General features: G+C 54.6%; 1 protein-coding gene across 3 annotated transcripts in view, besides 4 other annotated features; it reads left to right on the top strand.

Annotated features, from left to right (window-relative positions):
* The window catches only part of FA2H (fatty acid 2-hydroxylase), a 61,852-nt gene that overhangs the window by 34,844 nt on the left and 14,943 nt on the right, over positions 1–12,065 (top strand). The gene's annotated exons all lie outside the window — the stretch shown is intronic.
* Positions 1,973–2,680: an enhancer, noted in NCBI's record as "H3K4me1 hESC enhancer chr16:74771195-74771902 (GRCh37/hg19 assembly coordinates)". NCBI's record gives its function as "activates a minimal SCP1, AML or CMV promoter by ChIP-STARR-seq in naive H9 embryonic stem cells {active_cell/tissue: H9 hESC(naive)}" and the evidence as "EXISTENCE:reporter gene assay evidence [ECO:0000049][PMID:30033119]".
* Positions 5,923–6,482: an enhancer, noted in NCBI's record as "H3K27ac-H3K4me1 hESC enhancer chr16:74767393-74767952 (GRCh37/hg19 assembly coordinates)". NCBI's record gives its function as "activates a minimal SCP1, AML or CMV promoter by ChIP-STARR-seq in naive H9 embryonic stem cells {active_cell/tissue: H9 hESC(naive)}" and the evidence as "EXISTENCE:reporter gene assay evidence [ECO:0000049][PMID:30033119]".
* Positions 9,411–9,935: an enhancer, noted in NCBI's record as "H3K27ac-H3K4me1 hESC enhancer chr16:74763940-74764464 (GRCh37/hg19 assembly coordinates)". NCBI's record gives its function as "activates a minimal SCP1, AML or CMV promoter by ChIP-STARR-seq in primed H9 embryonic stem cells {active_cell/tissue: H9 hESC(primed)}" and the evidence as "EXISTENCE:reporter gene assay evidence [ECO:0000049][PMID:30033119]".
* Positions 9,936–10,461: an enhancer, noted in NCBI's record as "H3K27ac-H3K4me1 hESC enhancer chr16:74763414-74763939 (GRCh37/hg19 assembly coordinates)". NCBI's record gives its function as "activates a minimal SCP1, AML or CMV promoter by ChIP-STARR-seq in primed H9 embryonic stem cells {active_cell/tissue: H9 hESC(primed)}" and the evidence as "EXISTENCE:reporter gene assay evidence [ECO:0000049][PMID:30033119]".

Genomic DNA, 12,065 nt, shown 5'->3' with positions numbered 1-12,065 from the left:
AATGAGGAGAGGAAGAGGGTGTGTGGAGCCAAAGCTGGGAGTGGGCATGACGTGTGCCCAGGGGAGAAGGGGAAGGAGAAGCAGGTGTCCACAGCCCAGAGGCATGACCTGGGACAGCAAACTCCGGCAGGGGTGTGGGGGTGCCTCACTGGTGGAAAGTTCAGAAAAATAGCAGACAAGTTCTGAGCATGGAACCAGATCCCAGACACCCCTGGAGAAGAAGAATTCTCCCGCCAGGACCCCTGAAGCTGAGAAGGGGCTGTGACAGGCTTGGCAGGCCCAGACATGCCCATTTTGACCAGGGCACAAGGTAGAGCTGCCCCTGGCACCTGCAGCCATGTGGAAGCGACATTGGCCAGTGCAGGGCACAGGAGACTGCTGAGTCCAGCAGGAGACAGCGCTGAAGCCATCCTCCGTGTTTGGGAGGAGTCAGAGATGCCTGCAGTCTTAGGATAAGCCTCTTTTGGCATCAAGAGGCCAGTGCCTTGCTATGGCTGAGCAGACCCCATAGACTGGTGAGATGAGCCCTGGAGGAGCTGAGCGGTCACGGTGGAAAAGGAGTCACTCAGCGGCAGGGGAGAAGCAGCTTTGCCTGGAGGGGTCACTGGAGGGGGTCACTGGAGGGGGTCACTGGAGGGAGCTGGGCTTGGTGCCATTTCCTTCCAGCTTAGGAACAGACACAAATGTGCATGTCCATAAACCCCTACCCTGCATGCCCTCTGCCTAGTTTGGGCCTCAAAGACACAGAAACAAATGGGACAGGCCCCTCCCTGCGAGAGCTCACAGCCTGGTGCAGGGGACAGTAACCCCTCCCCACCACCGCCATAAAGAGTTATTACCCCAGGAGGTGGCATGGGATGCTCGCCCAAGGAACACAGGTGAGCAGAGTGGGGTGGGGACCCCACAAAGCTGACTGTCTGCTGGGCCCCCTTGGCCCTGACACTGGGAACACAGAGATCCCACCTGTCGCATGAGATCACAGCCGCCTCTGGGAGAACCCATCCGCCCACAGCACAGACGCCTCAGGATCCAACCAGAGAGGCCGAAGGAAGTTGTGCTGTGCCATGTCCCCTCCTGAGAGGTGCAGAACCCAGGGCAAGATGGAGGCCAGCCAGAGGAAAGGCTGCCCGGCCATGCAGCCGGCGAGCTGGGACCTGGTTTCCGAACCTCAACCCCCAGCTTGGGCCCTGGGCACTGGCAGGGTCAGGACCTCAGTCTGGAACAGGGGGAGATCGGAGGGGAATGGGGAGAGTTTGGGGACTGATGAGGGGACCAAAGGGTGAGCTACAGTGTGTCCTGGCTCAGGGTCCTGTCCTGAGTGGCCAGTGGATGGTACTGGAAGGAGCTGCAGAGAGAGGCATCTGTGAGCTTGGCTTAGGGCTTGAATTCTGAAAAGAGCTGACCGGGACTGAACAAATGTGGCAGCCATCAGGGTGATGTGACATGAACAAAACTGTCCTGGAGGGAGGAGCTGGGGTCTGAGGCTGGCTGGGGACGGGAGATCCAGCCCACATTGCCAGCTCTGTGGTCAGCTCCTCCCAGTCTCCCCGAGCTGTGGTTCAGGGCTGACCCCGGCCCCATCACTGCAGGAGGCAAGGGGAGGATTAACCCAGGCTGTGCCACCGTCACCTATGCTGTCACCACGACCACACCCAAGGGGACGAGGGGCCCCTCCTCCCCCATGGACTGCTCCCTGCCTGGCTCCGGGCCAGCTGTCCAAGCAGCCTGACTCACCTTCCCCACCTCTCTCTCATTCTCTCTCTACACACTCACTCTTCCTCCCCTTCCTCCTGTGTCTCTGGGCTGAGACGGAAGGGCGAGGGCTGGGCCCTGGGAGGATGTGGAGGCCTACTCTGGACGGAGCCCCCACCTGCCCGGGTGTGCATGGGAACCCCTTCAGCGCCCCAGAAAATCAGCACAGGGAGCAGGGCTTCCCAGGAGGGCAGAGGGTGCTTTTCTGCTTTTTTCTTTTCTTTTCACTTTTGACTTTCCAAAAAAGGGTGCTGCTGCTGCCTCGTTCACCTCACGGGCAATCCCAGCTCCGTTAGTGGGAACAGAGAGGCTGGGGGAGCCCGCGGTGCTCCAACCTGAGCCCTCTCTCTGTTGCTGACCCAGGCAGCGGGGGCTGGGGTAGGTCTTTTGGATCGGGACATGGAGGAGCTGGGAAAGAGGCCATGAAGGTGGCAGCTTTGTCTCAGCCGAGGGTCCCCAGGCCTGGGGTGGGTTTGCACACCTGCCCCTGGGGCAGAAGGGCTTGCTGGTGTTAACTCTTCTGGCTTTACCTCCAAGCTCAGTACTGTGATTGCTGCCAAAGACTGGAGTCCTGGCCTCCCGGGGCCCAGTTTCCCTGGCCCTAGAAGGTGGGGACAGAGTGGGAAGGTGTGTGTGAGAAGGGGTGAGTGAGAATGCTGGGAAGAGTGAGAGGACAACAGGCCAGGGGAGCCAGGGCAGAGTTAGAAGGATCTGAAAAGACAGGAAGAAGGGCCAGGAAGCAAACCCTGGTGCCCCGCTCTGCTCAGAGGTGAGGGATGGTCTTACTTTTGGGCTCTGTGTGGAATTTTACCAGAACAGTTTCTAAATCATCCCTTCAGTCACCCAGCCAGGCAGGGTCCAGGCTTCCTTATGGGACAAGAAGCCAGGTTGTGGATTCTCACCCTCCACATCCCTCCCTGTTTCTAGAACACAGCCAGGTGAGGTGGCCAGAGCTGCCCACCACTCTCAGCTCCTGGACACACGTGTCCCCCTGGTCCAGCAGCCTCTTTTTGCCACTTCGCCATGTCCTTTTCGGAGCCCTCCCTTGGGAGCCCTCTCCACCCTTTCCACCCGGGGGACCAGCCTCCCTTTGGGGAGGGGGCAAGAACAGGTGTGATTTGAGGGGTTTGCAGAAGTTCGCTGCCCAGATGCTCAGCAGCGGAGTTAGCCCTGAATTCACATCTCTTGTACTGAGCCCTCACTGTGTGCCAGCCGCTTTCAATGTATTATTGGTTATCTGCTTTAATCCTGCTGACAGCACGAGGGATAAGGATTATAATTATCCTGATTTAACTGATAAGGAAGAGCTTAAATCTCCCGCCCAAAGTCACCTCTGGGCACACTAGCAGCCCAGATAGCGGCCCCTCCCCTCCACAAGGTCCTGGAACCTTCCCACCCCAACAGCTGACCATGAATAAGACCCTGAGGCCGGTGAGTAGGAGAGGGAGTGGCAGAGGGAGGGAGGAGGCTGAGCAGATACCAGCAGTGTCTCCCAAGCCAGCCACATCCTCTTCCCCATCCTTCCTCAGGCTAAGCCAGATGCTGGCATAACCAGCTGCTGGGGCTGGCCAATGGGTGTGATCAGCCTCTTCCCTCAAGGGACAGATAGACGCATCCAGCAGGCATCCCCAAACTCCCTGTCCCTGCCCCCTGCCTGACATAACACAGACCACCAGGGTCCCCAGGGCCTGGAAAGGCTATTGAAGTTGGCCATAGTGTTTTGCCCATTTAGGACCCCCAGATCAGTCACTGAGAACTCAGGAAGATAGCATCCAGATCAGAGAAAGGGCCCTTTTGGCCAACACACTCTCGGGGGGACCAGCCTTGGCACTGTGGGCACTGGCCTGGCTCTCCTCTAGGCACCCTGCCTGCCTAGTCGCCTTGGGTCCCCTTGGGCCTCCTTTCTCTCTATAATCCCTCCCAGCCAGAGTAGGGGTCTGGAGGGCCCAACATCCAAAGGGCCTCCCCAAGGCTGTCCATACTGGGCTTAGAGTCCCTGAGTCTCCTCTCTGCCTGCCTCCTTGCTCAGAGCTCCTGGCCCCTCTTCAGAGGAGCTCAGCGGTGCTCAAAAAATACCCCAAGGCAGAAAGCAGGCAGGTGGGCTGGGCACTGCCCTCTGCTTCCGTGGGTCTTAGAGGACACCCTGGGAGGGCAGTGGACAGGGCAGGCTGGGAGGCAAGAGATGCCACAGTGTTCCAGTATGATGCAGAAAGCTATTCCCTCTATCTTTTTTATTTTTTTAGAGACAGGTTCTCACTCTGTTACCCAGGCTGGAGTACAGTGGCAAGATTGCAGCTCACTGCAGCCTCAACCTCCCAGGCTTGAGCCATCCTCCCACCTCAGCTTCCTAATTAGCTGGGACTACAGGTGCATACCACCATGCCTGGCTAATTTTCTTAAATTTTTTTGTAGAGATAGGGTCTTGCTATGTTGTCCAGGCTGGTCTCAAACTCCCAGCCTCAGTGATCCTCCCACCTTGGCCTCCCAAGGTGCTGGGATTGCAACCCTGCATCTTATTATTGCGTAGGATTATCTGGAGGATCTAGTGGAATGTACTAAAGGATATCAGAAAGTGTGCTGCAAGGGAAAGACCACCCTACCTGGTTTTGGGGTGGGGCCCCTGGGCAGGCTCCCTTCGCTCGTCTTCAGCCCTAAGGGCAGAGGTCATGCCTGCTTTCTGCCAGCGCTCAAGCTGTCTTTCATCTCTCCCTGTGTCTCTGGCATTTTTGCTCCCTATCCACTCTCCGCTGCCTGAATCCTCGTGGGGTGAGCCTGAGGCCACCTCCCTGTCCTCACATCCCCTGGGTGACGGGAGGGTCATAGGGCTCAGGGGGAGGAGGCAGGTGATCCGGAACCACCTCTGTGGACTTCAGCTTGTCCCAGTTAGACCGCGCAGGACGGGCCTGCAGCCACTCCGGCAACGCCACCAAGAGCCCCACCTCACTGCCCCCACTGACCGCTGCTGGCTGTGAGGAATCACAGCCGTTGTGCTGAGGAAGTCACAGCCATGGGATCCCAATCTGGCTGACAGGAGGCCTCCTGGCCGAGCCTGGGCTGTGAGTGGGGCACTCGAGTCCAGGCCCTGCCACAGCATATGCAGCCGAACATCTGACCCTGTCTTCTCATCTGTCAAAAGAGGTCATCATCGGCCCCAACTCCCAGAATTAAGGCTCATGAAGGATAGGGGATGTGAGGCCTGAGCCCCAGCTGACCAGCGACCAGGTTGCAGACAACCGGCCCCCACTCCTCTCCCGCAGCCCCGGCTGCCTGGAAGCCTGTCTCCACCTCTGCTCAGAAAGCTGCCCTGGGGCAATATGCCTGAGTTTGGGTGGACATTTCTTTAAACAATTGCCTTAGCTCATCGCTGTGGGGGTGAGCAGTGCTGCTGACACTGAGCAGCTACCCTGCCCCCGCCGCCTGCCCCCGCTCACCACATTTGCCACCTTAGGGAGAAGCAGATTCTGGGCACACCCTTCCCCAGGAAAGCGTCCTATGCCACCTGGCCCTGTGCTGCCCAGGAGGAGGGGTCCTGGGGAGGGGGAGGAGGAAAACAGGGAAGGCCCCCTTCTACCGGGGCACCATGCCCTTCCGCCCACCCTCTGGGCAGCAGGCTGCCCTTTCCCCCTGCCGTGCTGCTGTGGGCCACATTCCTGGCATAGCCTGGGAGAAGCCCTCCCCTTCTCTCTAAGGCAGGGACCGAGCAGGCTGGGGGAGGGGCATGGACCCCACACAGTCGGCACAAGGTGCTTTGGCCGAATCCACTCCCCCTTGCATCTGCTTCCTGGGCCCCGGCCCGTTGGTCGGGTCTTTGAATCACCAAAAAATCCCTCCACCCCAATGAGCTGCTCATTCCAGAGCAGTTTCGGGCATAACCGTGCTGTCGCCCATGCAGGCCAGCTTCCTCTGGACGGCCCTGAGTGCTGGACATGCCTCTCTAGCGTCGGGTTCCACTGCTGTAAAAGGGGACTTGTTACTGTAGGGGGAGCCGTGGGAGCCCCCAGATGCCTGGGAAGTGGAGGCATCATCAGTGTGGCCTGATCTCCCCTTCTCCCCCACCCGAGCCACGTACATAGCCCACAGACCCATGCCTTCCCTCTGTCCCCCGAGCCTTGGGACATAAGAAGTAAATGGGGCCCGGACCAGGAACGAGCTGGAAGGAAGAGACCCACTAATGTGGTGGGAGTAGGAGAGGGGTCTTCGGTCAGGTAGAAGAGGGTGGGTGGAAGGGCGTGGTGCCCAGGTAGAAGGGGGCCTTCCCTGCTTTCCTCCTCTGCCTCCCCAGGACCCCTCCTCCCAGGCAATACAGGGCCAGGTGGCATAGGACGCTTTCCTGGGGAAGGGTGTGTCCAGAATCTGCTCCCCAAGGTGGCAAATGTGGTGAGCGGGGGCAGGCGGGGGACGGGGCAGCTGCTCAGTGTCAGCAGCGCTGCCCACCCCCATGGCAATGAGCTAAGGCAATTGTTTGGTCAGGTAGAGCAGGAAGCGAAATGTGTCTTGCATCGCTTCCCATCTCATTGGATCCCAAGCCGTCATCGTCTGCTGTCCTCCCATCTCAAAACCCGGTCCCGCCAACTGCCATGTTGGAAACGACCAGCAAGTGAGAGGCCTGGAACCTCTCAGCACCCAGCTGAGCCTTTCTCCTTCAGTGCTCACGACTGGAAGATGATTAAGAAAGGACACCCTATCAGTGCATGTACCACCTAAATCAAGGTCAAGTGCACAGGGTGCCAGTCCCAGCTCTTGGGAAACTGTGTGGAGGCTGCTACAAGCTGGGGGAAGGGGGAGGGAGGCTTCCACTTCAGGCCCAACCAATCCTATCTCAAGAGCCGCTTGACCTCTCAGGCCTCAATATCCTCATCTATAAATTGGGTCGGGGGTCGGCGGGCCTGAATTTCTGTGCTTATCTGGAAGGCTCACGGGGCTTCCCCTGGAATAGCGAGACTGAGGCCCCAGTCATAGAACTATAGGTGTTGGCCTTTGATGACTGAGGCGGGTGTTCACAGAAGGGAGAGCGAGGCCTCCCTGGGATTCCTCCAGGGTGGTCCTTCAGCCCCAGAGTGAAGTGGGCACCTTCCCTGGGCACCCAGGTGGGCTTCCTCGTGGAGACACAGCGTAGGCTAGATACAGAGCTCGGGTGTGAGGCCCTCCACGGCCCCAGACAGGCAAGAGGCAGCTTGGGACTGACTCTCAAGCACAAGTCCACCATGTGTACAGGTGGCAGTGCTTGCGGGTCTACCCAGGGAGTAACTGAAATCAGGTCAATCCAATGACATCAAATGACAGACCCCTGTGCTGGGGCTCTGTTCCCACCACACCTGTAAACACATCTTCCACGGTCTAGCTCCGGTTTCCACGACAGTTCTGTGCTTTTGTTCTGTTTCCTGTACATCCAGGTGTGAGATCTAGGCTGAAGTCCCTGCTTATAGCTTACCTAGACATTTCTTCTTGTGGTTCAACTGAATTCAACGTATGAATCCTATGCCATTTTCAGCTGGGGACAGTGGTTCACACCTGTAATCCCAGCACTTTGGGAGGCCGAGGCAAGATCACCTGAAGCCAGGAGTTCAAGACCAGTCTGGTCAACATGGTGAAACCCCATCTCTACTAATAATACAAAAAAATTAGCCAGGCATGGTGGTGCATGCCTGTAGTCCCAGCTACTCAGGAGGCTGAGGCAGGAGAATCACTTCAACCGGAGAAGTGGAGGTTGCAGTGAGCCGAGATCACACCACTGCACTCCAGCCTGGGTGACAGAGTGAGACTCAATCTTAAAAAAAAAAGAAAAAGAAAAAGAAAAAGAATCCTATGCCATTTTCTACTTGCTTCACAAAATAAAGACAAAATAGATCAATAGATTAAAATTTGCCCAAACCACTGCTAGGCTGAGAGAGGGGCCCCCTGGCCACATCCCTGTGCTATAGCTGGAAAAGATCATAGTTCAAGATCGCTCAGTCTGTGTAAAGTGCACAAGTGAATCACAGGATAGCAGTATCTGTCATGTGTAACATGCAAAAGTGGGACATAGAAAAACCAGGGGCGCTGGCCAGGCACAGTGGCTCATGCTCATAAGCCCAGCACTTTGGGAGGCTGAGGCGGGAGGATCACTTGAGCCCAGGAGCTCGAGACCAGCCTACACAACATAGTGATACTTCGTCTCTAAAAACAAACAAACAAACAAAAAACAATTAGCTGGGCATGGTGGCGTGAGCCTATAGTCCCAGCTACTCGGGAAGCTGAGGTGGGAGAATTGCTTGAGCTTAGGAGGTTGGTGCTGCAGTGAGCCACAGCCATGCCACCGCACTCTCACTTGGGCAACAGAGCAAGTCCCTGTCTCAAAAAGAAAAAGAAAGGACCAGGGGATTCATTTGAGAGAGATGGTCGTAAGCTACAGATGTGTATTATTATCTTTACAGCAACAACTGCAAGGAAAATACCAAAAGCATAGCTAAAAAGTCAATAGAGGAGATAGTATGGAATATTGTTAAATATTTCATACAAACAAGACAAAGGAAGAACAGAGGAGACAAATAGAAAATAGCAGCCATGTGTGGTGGCGCCCACCTGTAGTCCTAGCTACTCAGAAGGCTGAGGCGGGAGGATTATTTGATCTTCAGAGGTCAAGGCTGTAGCGAGCCAAGATTGGGCCACTGCACTCCCACTTGGGTGACAGAGCAAGCCCTGTCTCAAAAAAAGAAGGAAAGAATGAGAAAAGAAAACCAGAGGAGACCTACTCCAACATTAAATGTAAATAGATTTAATGCTTCAATTGAAAGGCAGAGATGGCCGGGTGTGGTGGCTCATGCCTGTAATCCCAGCACTTTGGGAGGTGGAAGCGGGTAGAATCACCTGAGGTCAGGAGTTCAAGACCATCATGGCCAACATGGTGAAATCCCATCTCTACTAAAAATACAAAAAAAAAAAAAAAAGCCAGACGTGGTGGTGGGCGCCTATAATCCCAGCTACTCAGGAGGCTGAGGCAGCGAGAATCGCTTGAACCCAGGAGACGGAGGTTACGATGAGCCGAGATGGCAAAAAGAGTGAAACTCCTTCTCAAAAAAAAAAAAAAAATGGCAGAGATTGTCTGACTAGATTAAAAAGGAAGACCCAACTATATTCTGTCTGCAAGAGATGCACCTTAAATGTAAAGACATACACAGGTTGAAAGTAAAAGTATGGGAAAACAGGGATCCTGCGCACAGCAAGCTTCAGGAAACCAGTGTGATTCTATTAATACCCAAGCGGACTTCGGGAGAAGGAGTATTTCCAGGGCCCAAGATGGCTCTTTCCCAGTGGTAAAGGGGCCAACTCATCAAGGAGACATAACTGGGCGACCTTGGGCAGATTACTCAGCCTCGGTTTCCCCAACTGCAAAATGACAATAGTTAGAATACACGCCTAGTTAGGGGTATGGCGAGGATCAAGTGACTGAACCTGTGTCAGGTGTTTAGAACCATGCTTGACACATAACCAGGGCTCCATGGGGATTAGCTCTGAGTGCTACTGTAGCTGGGACAAAGCCTTACATTCTCGCCTTGACCCTGGCCCAACTTCTTCTAAGGTGGGGCTCTGCAGACTGCCGCAAGATAAGGTGTAAACACAGGCCACCAGCTGGTTCCTCCAGTTCTTTTTCCTGATGGTGGTGGTAGCGGTTGTGGTGGTGCAGGGTGTGTGTGTGTGTGTGTTTACAGACCTAGGGCAGAGGACTGGAGGGAATGAGACAGCACACTTCCAATGACTCCACTTGCTGCTAGACTCAAGGGCTGAGGTCAAGGAGACTGGGGTAAGGAAGGGAGCAGCGACTAGGTGGAGTTTGGATGATTGCTTGATTTAGTTAGTGCCAGGGCGGGATAGCTCCAGGCTGACTTGGATCATCTTCCAGCCTGAGAAGCAGGAAGTGAACCCCCCAACCCCCACCCCTGCCACAGGAAGGCAGCCAGTACCTGGGACCTGCCAAGTTCACATGGCAGAAGCCACAGCTTCCTTTGGGCCCTTCACCCTGGTCACAGGCACAGAGAGAAACCCAGTGGCCTTGCCTGCTTGCTCCCAGGACCCCCACCCCCCTGCTCCCAGGCTGTGATGGGCGAGACCAGCTCCACCTCCAGAGCAGCTGGGGGGCATGTAAGGGCTAGTTCCTGGAAGACCCGCTGTGGCTGCAGGCTTTGGTGGAGAGGCCTGTACAAGGATGAGATTGCAGCCAGGGCCAGGGGAAGGAGGTTTCTGGAATCACTGATGGCTGTTTCGTCCAGGCTTGCAAGCTCTTCCACGTGCAGCCCTTGCTCCTCTCCCCTCCTCTCCCTGCCTGTGGTTCCCCTACTTCCCACCTGCAGTGGCTGCCTGACTCCCCGTGCTGAAGATTGGCTGAGCATCCACCGAGACACCCTCATCCTCACTCCGATTGTGTGTGGCAGATTGGGGCCCACCAGCATCACAGATGAGGGCACTGAGGGGCTCCGGGAGGAAAAGATGCACGTCCAGGATCTCACAGCTGGTCAAAGGCACAGCCAGGCTCTAATGGTGTTCCCCTGACTCCAGGTTCATTGTTCTTTCCTGGATTCGGTCCAGATTAACCCAGCACTGGCTTGTCAGAAATCCTCAAGGGCTTCTAGTTGCCTGGAGCTGAAACCTGCAAACTTTTCTGAGCTTGCATCCCTATGAGTGAAACTTTCTGCACACACTCTCCATTATGTGTCCATTTAAATTATTTCTAAAGTATTTGCATGTGTTAATGTACTCTCACAGTCTGTGCATTAGAAAACATTCAAATGCCGTGTAAAGGTGAGATAAAGCCTGCGTAGTGGCACGCTCCTGTAGTCTGAGCTACCCAAGAGGCTGAGGCAGGAGGATCGCTTGAGCCCAGGAGTTCAAGTCCAGCCTGAGCAACACAGCAAGACCCACCTCTTAATAAAACAAATAAGAGGCCGGGTGTGGTGGCTTACGCCCATAATCCCAGCACTTTGGGAGGCCGAGGCGGGCAGATCACGAGGATCGGGAGATTGAGACTATCTTAGCCAACATGGTGAAACCCCTTGTCTACTAAAATACAAAAAATTAGCGGGCGAGGTGGCATGTGCCTGTAATCCCAGCTACTTGGGAGGCTGAGGCAGGGGAATCACTTGAACCCGGGAGGCGGAGGTTGCAGTGAGCTGAGATCGTGCCACTGCACTCCAGCCTGGTGACAGAGCAAGACTCTGTCTCAAAAAAAAAAAAAAAAAAAAAAAAATCAAGACCATCCTGGCCAACATGATGAAACCCCGTCTCTACTAAAAATACAAAAATCAGCTGGGCGTGGTGGTGCGTGCCTGTAGTCCCAGCTACTCAGGAGGCTGAGGCAGGAGAATCACTTGAACCCAGGAGGCGGAGGTTGCAGTGAGCTGAGATCATGCCACTGCACTCCAGCCTGGCGACAGAACGAGACTCTGTCTCAAAAAAAAAAAAAAAAAAAAAGAAAGAGATAAATATATTACAAACACAAATAAATAGAAATAATAGCAATAGAAATAGGGTCGTTAATATTTTCTCCCTGCCTCTGGGGATTAGCCTGTGAGTACCGATGGAGTACACGTACATCCTTGCCTTGGAGACAACAGGCCTGGAGAATAAGCAACTCCTGGATGTGGTACAGGGTGTTCTATCATCTAAGCCTTCAGCAGCTTTTTTCCTGCTGCCCACAGAGCACTGTTAAGGTGCCAGAAAGGCCACAACCATATTCAACTTTACATCTGTGCCCACACTCCCTGTCATCCTTTCCTCTCTCCCCCTTGTCAAATCCCCCATGTTGATGAACTCCAAACCAAAACCCAGATCCTCTGCAAAGCCCTCCTCGCCTACCGTGACCCGGGCATTTGTACCAGCCATTCTGCCTCTGGATCTCAGCCTGCTTTGTATCTCCACTAAACTATCCTGCTTGGCATGCCACATCTCATTGAGCACTTAATGCAGGTACCGTTATTATTTTTTTATTTTTGAAGAGACGGAGTCTCGAACTATTGCCCAGGCTGGTCTCAAACTACTGGCCTCAAGCAGTTATCCTGCCTCAGCCTCCCAAAATGCAGGGTTTACAGGCATGAGCTACTGCAACCAACAATTACTTCCATTTTATAGCTGGGGAAACTGAGGCTCAGAGAGGTTAAGTAATTTTCCAGAAATCACACAGTAAATGGCAAATGGATTTGTACCCAGGCCTGACTTCCGAGTCTAACTGTAAGCACTAAGCTACATGAAACAAGGTTGGCCTCTTTCATTCCTGTTGATTCTTCCCAGCACCTAGCATAGAAATAAATATATATATAAAAAATAAATTGCTGAATAAATGA

Source organism: Homo sapiens, chromosome 16 (genome assembly GCF_000001405.40).
Source record: "Homo sapiens chromosome 16, GRCh38.p14 Primary Assembly".
Taxonomy (NCBI): domain Eukaryota; kingdom Metazoa; phylum Chordata; class Mammalia; order Primates; family Hominidae; genus Homo; species Homo sapiens.
Note: the sequence above shows the minus strand (reverse complement) of the source record. Positions and strands in the feature narration are given on the sequence as shown.